Source organism: Homo sapiens, chromosome 12, assembly GCF_000001405.40.
Source record: "Homo sapiens chromosome 12, GRCh38.p14 Primary Assembly".
Taxonomy (NCBI): Eukaryota; Metazoa; Chordata; class Mammalia; order Primates; family Hominidae; genus Homo; species Homo sapiens.
Window position 1 is genome coordinate 123121550 of NC_000012.12, and position 15510 is coordinate 123137059.

The 15510-nt window shown below is 46.8% G+C and overlaps 1 protein-coding gene across 24 annotated transcripts in view, besides 1 other annotated feature; it reads right to left on the reverse strand.

Annotated features, from left to right (window-relative positions):
* Window positions 1-15510, reverse strand: part of PITPNM2 (phosphatidylinositol transfer protein membrane associated 2) — a 168369-nt gene that overhangs the window by 138070 nt on the left and 14789 nt on the right. The window lies entirely within an intron of this gene.
* Window positions 6099-6710: an enhancer, noted in NCBI's record as "H3K27ac-H3K4me1 hESC enhancer chr12:123612195-123612806 (GRCh37/hg19 assembly coordinates)". NCBI's record gives its function as "activates a minimal SCP1, AML or CMV promoter by ChIP-STARR-seq in naive H9 embryonic stem cells {active_cell/tissue: H9 hESC(naive)}" and the evidence as "EXISTENCE:reporter gene assay evidence [ECO:0000049][PMID:30033119]".

Here is a 15510-nt window from a genome sequence, read left to right on the forward strand (position 1 = left end):
TTTTATTTGTTTTTTGAGACAGGGTCTCACTCTGTCATCCAGGCTGGAGTGCAGGGGCATGATTACAGCTCATTGCAACCTTGAATTCCTGGCTCAAACAAACCTCCTGCCTCAGCCTCCTGAGTAGGTGGGACTACAGGCACGCACCACTACATCTGACTTTAACATAATTTTTTTTTAGTAGAGGAAAGGTCTATGTTGTCCAGGGTGGTCTCTAACTCCTGGCCTCAAGCAATCCTCCCGCCTCTGCCTCTTGAGTCCCTGAGATTACAGGCTTGGACTACCATGCCCAGCCCATGTCAACCTTTTGTTTGTTTGTTTTTGAAACAGGGTTTCGCTCTGTCACCCAGGCTGGAGTACAGTGGCATGATCTTGGCTCACTGCAACGTCTGCCTCCCAGGCTCAAGTGATCCTCCCACCTCAGCCTCACAAGTATTATAGTTGGGACTACAGGCACACACCGCCATGCCCATCTAACACGTCAACCATTTTTAAGTGCACAATCATCACTGCCATCTACCTCCAGAACTTCTTCATCTTCCCAAACTGAACTCTGTACCTATCAAATACTAACTCTCCATTCCTCCTGCCCCCAGCTCCCTGGGGAATCTCTTTAGAAATGATGTCAATTGGCCTGGTGCGGTGGCTCATGCCTGTAATCCCAGCACTTTAGGAGGCTAAGGCAGGCAGATCGTCTGAGGTCGGGAGTTCGAGACCAGCCTGGCCAACATGGTGAAACCCCGTCCCTACTAAAATACAAAAATTAGCCGGGCGTGGTGACACACGCCTGTAGTCCCAGCTACTCAGGAGGCTGAGGCAGGAGAATCGCTTGAACCTGGGAGGCGGAGGTTGCAGTGAGCCAAGATCGTGTCATTGCACTCCAACCTGGGTGACAGAACAAGGCTCCGTCTCCAAAAAAAAGAAGAAAGAAAGAAATGACGTCAACTTACAGATCTGGGAAATCCAAGTCGCAAGCCTGTTGATAGGCCTCCTGGTCACATCTGAGCTCCCCCAAAAACATAACCTCCCTGAAGGTTAGCTTCTGGTGTTTCTCAGATACTCGGTGGTAAACAAGCTGACAGAGAAGGGGCAAGGTAGCTGCTGCCCCCACCCTTTACCAGGAACATATCTTCCAGACCACAACCTGACTACAGGAATCCAAAAACCCAAGAGCCCCTCAGTCGTGTGCAAGCTGGCAGCTAATGGGAATGAACAGTCTTAACTGGCTATGCCAGGAACTACCCTACAGCCTGCCCTTTGCGGTAGAAAAGGCTCTCACACAGAAGGAGTTTTCTCCAGATTTTTATTTTACTTAAAAGCTCTTCCTTGCCTGGGGTTTTGAGGTTGAAAACCACTGCCTCGCACTCACACATTGTAAGTGGGAGTGTAAATTGGTACTACCTTTATGGAGAGCAATTTAGCAATTGCTAACAAAAATAAAAGAAAAACACTCCTTGACCCAGCAATTCTACTTCTGGAAATTTATTCTACAGACATGAGAGTATATTTGCATGAAAACCTACTTATTGAGATGCCTGCTACAGCACTGTTTGCTTCCCATCTTCTGCTCTTACAATCTAAAACCCCATCAACAGGGACCTGGTTTAACACATGATGGTCCACCCATGAGCAGAATACTAAGCCCACCATTACAAGAACTGAACAACTCTACATGAGCCAACAGAGAACCATCTGCAGGATTTATGTATTGTGAAGTCAAAAAAGCAGATGCACAACAATAGGCAGCCATTTGTGTTTAGCTTTGTTTTTAAGTAATATAGGCCAGGCAAGGTTGATCACACCTATAATCCCAACACTCTAGGAGGCCGAGGTGAGAGGACTGCTTGAAGCCAGGAGTTTGAGACCAGCCTAGCCAACATAGCAAGACTCCATGTCTACAAAAATAAAAAAATTAGCCAGGTGCAGTTGCACGTGCCTCTAGTCCCAGCTACTCAAGAGGCTGAGGCAGGAGGACTGCTTGAGCCCAGGAGTTTGAGGCTGCAGTGAGCTATGATCACACCACTGCTCTCTAGCCTGGGTAACAGAGCAAACCCTCTCTCTCTCAAAAAAAACAAAAAAAAATTAAATTAAATTAAATTTTTAGGCCGGGAGCATTGGCTCATGCCTATAATCCCCACACTTTGGGAGGCTGAGACAGGTGGATCAATTGAGGCCAGGAGTTGGAGATCAGTCTAGCCAACATGACAAAACCCCGGCTCTACTAAAAAATACAAAAATTAGCCAGGTGTAGGGGGACATTCCTGTAATCGCAGCTACTTGGGAGGCTGAGGCACAAGAATCGCCTGAACCCAGGAGGCAGAGGTTGTAGTGAGTGGAGATCGCACCACCGCACTCTACCCTGGGCAACAGAGCAAGATTCTGCCTCAAAAAAAAAAAAAAATTAAAATTTAAAATTTAAAAAGTGGCCAGGCACAGTGGCTCACACCTGTAATCCCACCACTTTGGGAGGCCGACGCGGGCAGATCATGAGGTTAGGAGATCGAGACCACCCTGGCTAACACGGTGAAACCCTATCTCTACTAAAAATACAAAAAAATTAGCCTGGCGTGGTGGCAGATGCCTGTAACCCCAGCTACTCGGGAGGCTGAGGCAGGAGAATCGCTTGGACCCAGGAGGCGGAGGTTGCAGTGAGCCCGAGATTGTGCCACTGCAGTCCAGCCTGGGCGACAGAGTGAGACTCCGTCTCAAAAAATAAAATAAAAATACAAAATATTAGCCAGGCATGGTGGTGTGCACCTGTAATTCCAGCTACTTGGGAGACTGAGGCAGGAGAATCACTTGAACCCATGAGACGGAAGCTGCAGTGAGCCAAGATCACACCACTGCACTCCAACCTGGGCAACAGAGCGAGACTCCATCTCAAAAAAAAAAATTAAAAAGTAATATACATTAATATATACAGAGAATCTCTCTGAAAGAGGACACACACACAAAACTAGCAACCATCACTGTCTCTGGGAAGGAAAACTAAGATATTGAAGACAGGGGTGGCAAGAAGTCTTTTTTATTATTATTATTATACTTTAAGTTCTAGGGTATATGCACAACGTGCAGGTTTGTTACATATGTATACATGTGCCATGTTGGTGTGCTACACCCATTAACTCGTCATTTACATTAGGTATATCTCCTAATGCTATCCCTCCCCCATCCCCCAACCCGGCAAGAAGTCTTATGTTTGCCTGTAGCTGCTTTTCACTTCGGTACCAAGTATAATGCATTACTTACTTACCCAAATAATATTTAAAATATATATGATCTTTATATTTTATTACTGAACTGTAATCTATGAGTTTGTAAGTTCCATAAGGAATGTATCTAATTTATCTTTAGAATCTTGCTAATGTCTGGTGCACTATCATGCATAGCCTTTTCAATGTTTCGTTAAAAAAATTTTTTTTATTTTGAGACAGAGTCTCGCTCTGTAGTCCAGATGGAGTGCAGCGGTGACATCACAGCTCACTGCAGCCTTGATCTCTTGGGCTCCCTTGATCCTCCTGCCTCAGCCTCCCAAGTAGCTGGGACTACAGGCATGTGTCACCATGCCCAGCTAATTTTTGTATTTTTTTTGTAGAGATGAGGTCTTGCCATGTTGCCCAGGTTGGTCTCAAACTCCTGGGCTCAAGCAATCTGCCCACCTCAACCTCCCAAATGTTAAATGTTTTTTAGTAAGTGAAAGAATGAATGAGTAAATGATTCTAAAGCACTCAAAAAACAATGTTCTTTGAATCCTAGAAAATTGTGAGTCTTGAATTGTTAGAGAAGGAAGAAGTTAGGTAGAAGCAAAAACAAATAAATAATTGATATCTGGATACAAAAAGCAGACTCAGTCATATCAAAGGATGATGCACACCACTGATGGTTCATTTAAGTTGATGCTACAGATTTAACAAGAGTTTTTAAAATTTCAATTCTAATTATTTTATGTTTTAAAATGCCAATATTTAATATTTCTTTTGGAATAGCAGAACGCAAAGAAAATGCATGGTACAGGCCAGGCGCTGTGGCTCACGCCTGTAATCCCAGCACTTTGGGAGGCCGAGGGGGGCGGATCACGAGGTCAGGAGTTTGAGACCAGCCTGACCAACAAGGTGAAACCCCGTCTCTATTAAAAATACAAAAATTAGCTGGGCGTGGTGGCAGGCACCTGTAATCCCAGCTCTCAGGAGGCTGAGGCAGGAGAATCGCTTGAACCCCAGAGGCCGAGGTTGCAGTGAGCCGAGATTACTCCACTGTACTCCAGCCTGGGCGACAGAGCGAGACTCTGTCTCAAAAAAAAAAAAAAAAATTAGGGTTTTTTTTTTTTTTTTTTTTTTTGAGATGGAGTCTCGCACTGTCACCCAGGCTGGAGCGCAGTGGCGTGATCTCGGCTCACTGCAAGCTCCGCCTCTCAGGTTCACGCCATTCTCCTGTCTCAGCCTCCGGAGTAGCTGGGACTACAGGCACCCGCCACCACGCCCAGCTAATTTTTTGTATTTTTAGTAGAGACAGGGTTTCACTGTGTTAGCCAGGATGGTCTCAATCTTCTGACCTTGTGATCCGCCTGCCTCGGCCTCCCAAAGTGCTGGGATTACAGGCTTGAGCCACCATGCCCAGCCTAGGCTCTACCTTTTAATCCTGTGACCCTCATATCCCTAAAGAATCAGAAAGAAGATCTAAAAACCAAGCAGACCCTTCAGTGAGTTGAATATAACTGCTAAGGGTTCTGCAGGGATTGATGCATATCCTTGGGTAAGCTTGGGAATTCTTGCCCTATTAACCTCTCACTCTTGCCCTACTATTCTCCACAATCCAGTCTGGCAAGCAAGCTGACTACAACTCCCACCATTTAGAAGAGGGCCAACTTGCAGATCAGACCACCAAGCTTCAGGCGAAAAGCTGTCACAAAGCTGGAGGGCTTTAGTCCTAGGAGAACTGCACACTGACCCCTCTGGTGGTCATGCAAACCACTATGGTTAAAATAAGGCAGAAAATTAAAAGTAGCAAAACCACACTGAGTGAGTAAAGAAAAAGAACTAGGGAGGAGGGAGGATGACTTAGGAAGTATGGCCAGCATGATGGGTTCAGCCTGTGGGACAGCTGGCAGACACACATCCATCCACCCCTTCCGTGGCCTCCGAGAACAGCCTGATTCATGACATTGGAACTTCAGCTTCATCATGGTAGCCCCAGTCAGCTGAATGACTCAGCAATCCCTCAAAGACTGAATTATCTCTAGGGTTCTCTGTTGATTGAAAGAGAGGCAAGAATTGCCTTTGAGAAAGATCAGGATAATGACTGGGAAAATGTGATGAAGCTTGCATGAATGACAGCAGTGATGAAGCAGTGTCTGTTCTCTGGTTTCCAGCAGGAGCAAAAGATTTACTTCCAACAACCAGGCTCTGTTCACTGGGGTCTCGTCCAAACACTGCCCTCAGCATGGTGGTCTAGGGGATGCCAGGGCAAGGGACCACAAAGCTACAGGGAATTTCTGAGAGCCCTGCCCTTGGAGAATGCACGAATGGTTCATCCCTCCTCAAGTCACATCCATCATCCAGGATGAGTTGAGCTTGAAATAATGGACTTCCAGGCTCTGTGACAACGACTTAATGGTGCACAAATGTGTTCAAAACATTCTGGAAGAGTCCTCAGAATAACCCCACTGAGAGATGCTGAACACCCTGCATCACGCCACTTACACCGCTGCCCTCCATTTCCTGGGAGTCCAGGTCGCAGGGGACCCAGGAGGTGCTGGCAGCTGCCTGAACTGTCCGGGTGTTACTCTTGTTTCTAACCAGAAAATAAGGTCACTGGCGTGTTGATGCCCAAGCAAACAGGTGTTAGAGGTGCTCCTACCCATCAAATTCAACAATGGTTTCCACTGACGCATAGAAAAACAATGGTGTTTGCCTACTTATTTTGCAACAGGCTGCCATACTGTCTTATTCTAATTAATTTTGAGTTTGTCTACTTTGAAAACCTAAGACAACGGCTGTATCCACTCAAAACATTCATTTTGCAACCTCCTATCTGAGAGTTATGCCCTGCCTCTTTTTCTTTCTTTTTTTTTTTTTTTTTGAGACGGAGTCTCGCTCTGTCGCCCAGGCTGGAGTGCAGTGGCGTGATCTCGGCTCACGGCAACCTCTGCCTCCCGGGTTCACGCCATTCTCCTGCCTCAGCCTCCCAAGTAGCTGGGACTACAGGCGCCCGCCACCACGCCTGGCTAATTTTTTGTATTTTTAGTAGAGACGGGGTTTCACCGCGTTAGCCAGGATGGTATCAATCTCCTGACCTCGTGATCCGCCCGCCTTGGCCTCCCAAAGTGCTGGGATTACAGGCATGAGCCACCGCGCCCAGCCTGCCTCTTTTTCCTAGCCTGTTGCATTGGCTTGAATCTAGAATAAAGAACAGTACTAAAGAGAGAGAAGGCATGCTTGTCTTGCAACAGACATTAAAAGGAATGTGTCTTAGAGCAACAGTGCTTCCTAGATGTTATTTGGCCCTGGAATGCTTTTTTGATGCAATACCCAGGAGCATTCTGTGTTCCTCAAACATACTTTGGAAAATGCTACTAGAGCATTTGACTATTAAGGATAAAGTATCTGAGTGCGGTTGCTCATGCCTATAATCCTACCACTTTGGGAGGCCGAGGGGGATCACTTAAGCTCAGGCATTCAAGACCAGCCTAGTAAACATGGCGAAACCCCATCTCTACAAAAAAAAAAAAAAAAAAAAAAAAAAAAAAAAAAAAAAAAGCGGGCTCACACCTGTAGTCCCAGCTACTTAGGAGGCTGAGGTGGGAGAATCACTTGAGCACAGGAGGTGGAGGTTGCAGTGAGCTAAATCACGCCACTGCACTCCAGCCTGGGTGACAGAGCAAGACCCCGTCTCAAGTTAAAAAAAAAAAAAAAAAAAGGTGGGGGGGCAGGCGCAGTGGCTCATGCCTGTAATCTCAGCACTTTGGGAGGCTGAGGGGGGCAAATCACAAGGTCAGAAGATCGAGACCATCTTGGCTAACATGTTGAAACCCCGCCTCTACTAAAAATACAAAAAATTAGCTGGCCATAGTGGCACACGTCTGTAATCCCAGCTACTCGGGAGACTGAGGCAGGAGAATCATTTGAACCCAGAGACAGAGGTTGCAGTGAGCAAAGATCGCGCCACTGCACTCCAGCCTGGGCAATACAGTGAGACTCGATATCAAAAAAAAAAAAAAAAGATAAAGTAGCTACCGATGGGAGATATTCTTTATCATGTTGAAATATTTGCCTATCCCTCAGTCTCTACGTTTTTAAGATTAATGAGGCTGGGGCCAGTGGGCTCACGCCTGTAATCTCAGCACTTGGGAGGCCAAGAGGGCGTATCACCTGAGGTCAGGAGTTCAAGATTAGTCTGGCCAACATGGCGAAATCCCGTCTTTACTAAAAATACAAAAATTAGCCAGGTGTGGTGGTGGGCACCTGTAATTACAGCTACTCAGGAGGCTGAGGCAGAAGAATTGCTTGAACCCGGGAGGCAGAGATTGCAGTGAACCAAGATCACTGCCATTGCACTCCAGCCTGGGCAACAAAAGCGAAACTCAATCTCAAAAAAAGGAGTAATGAGGCTAGGCATGGTGGCGCACACTTGTAGTCCCAACTACTCGGCAGGCTGAGGCAGGGGAATCCCTTAAGCCCAGGAGTTCAAGGCCAGCCTGGGCAACATGGGAGTCCTGTCTCTAAAAAAATTAAATGGATAGGCCGGGCGTGGTGGCTCACGCCTGTAATCCCAGCACTTTGGGAGGCCGAGGCGGGCGGATCACGAGGTCAGGAGATCGAGACCATCCTGGCTAACACGGTGAAACCCCATCTCTACTAAAAATACAAAAAAAATTAGCTGGGCATGGTGGCGGGTGCCTGTAGTCTCAGCTACTCAGGAGGCTGAGGCAGAAGAATGGCGTGAACCCGGGAGGCGGAGCTTGCAGTGAGCCGAGATTGCGCCACTGCACTCCAGCCTGGGCAACAGAGAGACTCCGTCTCAAGAAAAAAAAAAAATTAAATGGATAGTGAACTTTATCAAATGCTTTTCTGGCATCAACTGAAAGCACAGTAGTTGTTTTATTTGTATATTTTTCTCTTTTTTCTTTTAGTAGATCTCCTAATATTTATGTTTCTGAGGCTGGCCCACAACCCAGCATAATGAGTCCTGTGCTGGGTACTTGTACTGGGGGAACACAGAGACACAGAAAAATGCATAGAGTTCTTGCCTACAGAGGAAACAGAGGGGAGAGGAACACGGGGAAAACAACACACACACATGAACATGCACACTCCTGCATACCATCTGAATGGCAGGCTAGTACTTGTGAATTTTGTTTTGCGTTTTTTTTTTTTTGAGATGAGGTCTTGCTCTGTTGCCCAAGCTGGAGTGCAGTGGTACGATCATAGCTCACTGCAGCCACAAACTCCTGGGCTCAAGTGATCCTCCCGCCTTGGCCTCCCAAGTGCTGGGACTACAGGTACACACCACCATACCCAGCTAATTTTTAAAATTTTCTGCAGAGATGGGGTCTCGATAAGTCGCCCAGGCCAGTAGTACTTGTGAATTAATGTGTCACACACAGGGCACAGTGAGGACCCCAGGGAACCACATATGAATCATGCTAATCCCAGAGGGCTTCCAGGAGATGGCACAGAGCATTTGGGGACAGGCTGGAAATGAGGGCCTATGGATTTCAGTCCTGCCTTGTGTGGGACGGAAGGGCACACTTTCCTGGCCCACAATTATCTCAGCAGTAAAACAGTAGAGATAATTATAGATGCAAAAGACCTTTGGAAACACCCAGCTCTGCCTCCTTCATTTGCAAACAGAAGCTAAGGTTGGGGGCAGGGTCATTTGCCCAAGGCCACCGAGCCATCCTTGTGTCCTTCTTGGCTCCAAGGGGAAGGGGAAGAGAAACAAAAGAAAGCTTTGATTGGCCCGGCAATCACGCCTGTAATCCCAGCACTTTGGGAGGCCGAGGCGGGCGGATCACGAGGTCAGGAGATCAAGACCATCCTGGCTAACATGGTGAAACCCCATCTCTACTAAAAATACAAAAAATTAGCCGGGCGTGGTGGCGGGCGCCTGTAGTCCCAGTTACTTAGGAGGCTGAGGCAGGAGAATGGCGTGAACCCAGGAGGCGGAGCTTGCAATGAGGCGAGATCGCACCACTGCACTCCAGCCTGGGTGACAGAGCGAGACTCCATCTCAAAAAAAAAGAGTTTTGAGATGCTGGGCAGAAAGGAAGGTGAGAACAGCCTTCCCTGTAATAAATGTAATTGCTTCTACCTGAAAAACTGGCTGAGTCAGGAGGTGGCCAGGGTGCTAAGCTTAGGGTGTAGAGGCCAGAAATAGGAGAGGCTTGGACAGGAAAAGGGGATGATCCTGGTGCTGTCCCCCACCCCACCCTCACATGCCTAGGGCACCAGAGACATCCCCACCTTCTATTCTACATCAATACACCTGAGCAGACATGTGAGGATGGCTTTCACATTCATTCATTCATTCAACAAATATGGAGATTATATGGGTTGAAGAATGTCCTCCCAAAACTCATATCCTTGTCAGAAACTCAGAATGTGACTTTACTTGGAAATAGGGTCACTGCAGATGTCATTAGTTAAGGTGAGGTTGCACTGGAGTAGAGTGAGCCCTAAATCCAATGACTGGTGTCCTTATAAGAGAAAAGTCACAGAGGCAGATAGACACAGAGGGAGACAACCATGTGACAACTTAGGCAGAGGTTGGAATTATGTGTCTTCAAGTCAAGGAATGCCAAGAATGGCCTGCAACCACCAGCAGCTAGGAGGGAGGCCGGGAACAGATACTCGTTGCGGTCTCTAGAAGCAACCAAACTGCCGAAACCCAAAATTTGGATGTGTGGCTTCCAGTACTGTTAGAGAATACATTTTCATTGTTTTAAGCCATCCAGTTGTGGTGGGTTGTTATGGCAGCCCTAGGGAATTAACACAGAGATATGGTAGTGCACAAGCCCCTGCATGCTTGCCCTAGGAGCAGAGGCTCCAGGAGGCAGAGGGAGAGTCTGGTTCCATCTGGAATCCCTCCAGGACATCACCCTTACTCTTGCCCCAGTCACAGAACCTCACCCTGCCAGCCAGCCACACCTTCCACTGCCCTTCCAGAGCAGCTCCTAGCCTGTGTCTGTGCTAGGTCCTGATGGAAGAAGCAGCCCCCAGCCAACTGTGACTGCTTACTGGAAGGGATCATCACATGTGCCAGACACAAGGATGAATCCAAGTGCCTGTCAAGCTCTGGGAGGTGCCAGGAACTGTGCTAGGCCCTTTCACATACATTCTCCTTTAAACCTCAGGACCAACCAGAGGCAGGAAGGAAAGAGAAGCTCTGAGAAAGCATGTGACCTGCTCAGGATCCCACAACATGTCCGTGGCAGAACCCTGCTCCACATTCAGGCTGTCTGCATGAGGCCTGTTGGGTTCTCAGCACACCCAGTGCCCGATTCCCCCAGGACTGAAGCACCTGCCTCTCGACAGAACTGTCTCCCACTCGCTCTGCAGCTGTGGATGCCAGGGACCGCAGGCAGTTGGCATCTGCTCTTTGAAAAGGTATTTATCTTTCCACTCACTGAGAGCAAGCGAGAGCCATATAAGGACATGCCCAACGTCAGGTGCACAAGCGTTGCAGAGACAGATGTCATTCATACGCAGTGACCAGACATGGCCGTTAACTGCCAGGAACACCCACCTCCACTCCCCCAAGAGCATGGCGGGTACACTGCTGAGCAAGGAGCTCTCAGCTGGGCCACAGGTGTGGGGTCGCCTCTCCCAGTGTCTGGGAAAGCCAGGGCTCCATAAACACAGGGCCAGGTGTGGTCCAGCCCCGAGAGCCACTGGAGGTTCTCAGCAGTATTCATGAACAGCCCTACAAGCCTGAAATTTTTGTTTGTTGTCATTCTTTTGTTCTTTTCTTTCCCTTTTTTTTTTTTTACCATTTTGACAATTTATAAGTGTAAAATTTAGTGGCATCAAGGACATCCACAATGTTGTACAACCACCACCACTATCCACTTCCAGAGCATTTTCATTATCCCAACCAGAAGCTTTGTACTCACTAAACACTCATTCCCCATCTCCCCTCCCCAACCCCTGATAAACACTATTCTACTTTCTGTATCTGTGTATTTGCCTATTCTAGGTACCTCATATAAGTAGAATCATACAATATTGTCCTTTTGTGTCTGACTTCTTTCATTTAAAATGTTTTCAAGGTTCATCCATGGTTCATTCAATACTTGGCAAATATTATTTGGCCATAAAGAGGAATGGAATGCTGACACATATTGTTTGATGGAACCAAACAGTATGGCATATGAACAGACCACGTTCTGTTTATCCACTCATCAACTGCTGGACACTTGAGTTGTTTCCACCTTTTGGCCGCTGAGAACAGCACTACTATGAACATTAAGCTACAAGTATCTGTTCAAGTCCCTGCTTTCAAGTCTCTTGGGTATAGACCTAGAACTAGGTGTGGAACTACTATGTCATATGGGAATTTTGTGTTTAACCACTTGAGGAACCACCAAATTGTCTTCCACAGCAGCTGCAACCATTTGACATTCCCACCAGTAACACACGAGGGTTTCAATTTCTCCACATCCTCACCAATACTTGCCAAACCTGAAATTTTAGAGGCAGGGAAGAGGCAAGTCCCATAAGAGCCCCAGATATGGCTCCATGGCAAATCCCTGCCATCTGCCTACTTCATTCCTGCCATTGTGTACAGAGCAGCAGAAAGAAGAATGCTGGCTGTAGAGTCAGGAAAATCCAATTCTAGTTCCAGCTCTGGTGTCTGCTGGCTGTGTGACCCTGAACAAATACATTGATCACTCAGAGCCTCAATTATGTCCACTGTGGGAATGAAGCCAATGCACCAAAGTCACTTCCCACCACAGGCAGGGCTGTGAATCTGATGCCAATGGAAGAGAGAGAATTTGAGTATTTTCTTAAACTCTGTGGGATGATAGTAGGTGGTGGGAAGAAGAGACTGTTTCGATCTCCCTTGATAAATCTTCCATGATAATGTTTGGAAAGGACTAGAATACTTTTCCCTTCAACCTCCTCCTCTTTCCCTGCCTTCAAATGGAGAATCCAAAATACAGGAAAAAGTAGAAACATGAGGAATGTGGAAAAAATATCCAGATGAACTACCGAAGGCAATCTTAGCATCACAATTATTAATGAACACACACACACACACACACACAGACACACACACGCTCCTCCCTCACTGTACACGAAAAAGTTTGCTCAAATCTCTATGTCCCCAGATCCATGTTGGCCAGACTAATCTTGAACTCCTGACCTCAGGTGATACGCCCACCTTGGCCTCCCAAGTGCTGAGATTACAGGCGTGAGCCACCGCATCCGGCCCCAGCCTCATTACTCTGAAAAACATAGAGACTGAGGGATAGGCAAAGATTTCAACAATATAAGGAATATCTCCAACCAGGAGCTACTTTATCCATTTTTTTTTTAGATCGAGTCTCGCTCTGTTGCCCAGGCTGGAGTGCAGAGGCGTGATCTTGGCTCACTGCAACCTCCGCCTCTGGTTCAAGCTATTCTCCTGCCTCAGTCTCCCAAGTAGCTGGGACTACAGACGCGTGCCACCACGCCCACCTAATTTTTTGTATTTTTAGTAGAGACAGGGTTTTACCATGTTAGCCAAGATGGTCGCGATCTTCTGACCTTGCGATCTGCCCACCTTGGCCTCCCAAAGTGCTGGGGTCTGCCAAGCCCGGTGACCACCCCTGAGCCATATGACCAGGTAAGAGCACACCCAGGACATTGGTGATGTGATGGAAACCACCACTCCACACCTCCTGCAAGAGTCTGCGGCGGTGTCACCCACAGGGTCCTGGACAAATGGGCTTCGCATGAGTCAGTGCCAGGAAGCCCTCCAGGCACAACCGTTCTTGCACACACAAATGCCTCCTTCAAACCAGGCTGCAGGGAGGCTCCTCTCAAGCCTTGAAAACATGAAGTGTTCCTTCTTGGGTGCGCCCAGGACAGGTTTTCCCACTTACAAGGGAAAAAAAAAAGGTTTTACAAAATGCTTAGATTCCAAGGTTAAGTAGGCTTTTGAGCCTACTTAACTCCAAAAGCCTATTTAACTCCAAAATAGGCCCGTTGTGTGGTGAACTGTCAAAAGCAGCACTTTAACATAAAGCTCAGGGCCAGGTGGCCTAAATTTGAATCTGTTAGCCATGGGACCTTGAGGAAATAAGGCCTCTGCGGGACTCAGTTTTCTCATCTGTACAACAGAGCTGACTACAGAGGGTTGTTGTGGGATGAAGTGAGGCTCTGATATTCAGTAAGTTCCCCAACAAGCACAGGTGCTGTAGCTGGTGGGCCTAGCAGGAGAAAGCTCAGAAATTCAGCTGCACGATAGATCATGTTTTGTTGGTGGGCTAGCCTGGGAACCTAACCATGTGGACAGACATTCTCATGGAAAGCAGCCTTTCGCAGTGCCCACTCTGTGTCAGCTGGAAACGCCCCACACCAGCCAGCACTTTACACATGCTGAATTAAATGTGGCCACACCCAGTCTAGGAGACCACAAAGGCAGAAGTCAAGCAAAGACGTCCAGGGTGAAGGTGGGATCCTTCCCGGTGGCAGGAACAAACCTGCAGCCTATAGGTAGGTTCAGGTTCCATTTTTTTAAAAAAGCAAAAATAAAACATGTTTATAGCTAGGAATAATGTACTTTCATTTTAAATATTTTTAAACCATTTGACGTTTTAAAAATTTTACTGTGATAACCATAGTAACATATGACCCCCCCCCTTAACAAAACTTAAGTGTAAAATATGTTATTGTTGACTATAAGTACAATGTTGTATAGCAGATCTCTAGAGCTTATTCATCTCACTTGACTAAAACATTATGCCTGTAGATTACTAACTCCCCATTGCTTCCTCCCCTCAGACCTGGCAACCACCATTCCACTCTCTGAGTCTATGAATTTGACTACTCTAGGTACCTTGTATAAGTGAGATCATGCAGTATTTGCGTTTCTGTGACTGTTCTATTTCATGTAACATAATGTCCTAAACGTTCATCCATGTTATTCCACGTGGCAGGATTTCCCTTTTTGTTTGGTTTTTTAGAGACGGCGTCTCGCTACGCTGCCCAGGCTGGAGTGCAGTAGCTATTAACAGGCGAGATCATAGCACACCATAGCCCCAAACTCCTGAGCTCAAGTGATCCTCCCAAGTAGCTGCAACTGCAAGCCCGTGCCACCCTACCCATTTTGGGATTTCCTTCTTTTTCATGGCTGAATAATATTTTGTTGAATGTATATACCACATTTTCTTTACCCATTCATCAGTTGATGGACATTTTTTAATTATTTGGTTTTTTAATTTATCTTTGTTAATTTCCCATGAACATACATTACTTAAAATTTTTTTGGCCAGGCGCAGTGGCTCACCCCTGTAATCCCAGCACTTTTGGGAGGCTGAGGCAGGTGGATCACGAGGTCAGGAGATCAAGAAGATCCTGGCTAACTTGGTGAAACCCTGTCTCTACTAAAAATACAAAAAATTAGCCAGGTGTGGTGGCAGTTACCTGTAGTCCCAGCTACTTGGGAGGTTAAGGCAGGAGAACGGCGTGAACCCAGGAGGCAGAGCTTGCAGTGAGCCGAGATCGCACCACTGCACTCCAGCCTGGGCAACAGAGCGAGACTCTGTCTCAAAAAAAAAAAATTAAACTCATTTATCAAAACCAGAAAAAATAACAAAAAATAGAAATTTAACTTGGTGTTAAAGAAAAGGGCCTCCTTCTTGTTCTTTCTGACTCCCCCTCAGTCTCAATCCCTGTGGCCTTCAATAAATCAACCCCTCGGCCTCAGCTTATCTTCCATGTAATCTAGAACACAGCTCACAAGATTAAGAGTATGATTATTTACCATATTACAGCTAATTCACAAATGGCCTTAAAATTCTCAAAGCATGTTGAATGCAACTCCTCCTTAGTCACCCAGCCCTAAGTTAATAATTAAGCACTTGGCCAGGCATGGTGGCTCACACCTGTAATCCCAGCATTTTGGGAGGCTGAGGTGGGTGGATCACGAGGTCAGGAGATTGACACCATCCTGGCTAATGCAGTGAAACCCCGTCTCTACTAAAAATACAAAAAATTAGCCAGGCATGGTGGCAGGCGCCTGTAGTCCCAGCTATTCAGGAGGCTGAGGCAGAAGAATCGCTTGAACTCAGGAGGCAGGGATTGCAGTGAGCCGAGATTGTGCCACTGCACTCTGGCCAGATAGAGCGAGACTCCGTCTCAAAAAAAATAATAATAATAATTAAGCCCCCTTAATTGGTGAATATGGAAATGTACAGAACAGCGTCATAGGCACCACAGCACACAAAATTGACCCTGGCCTGATAATGGATTTCCTAAGTCACTTGCTCATGGAGCACTTCCACATCGAAAGTTAATTAGCCTAATG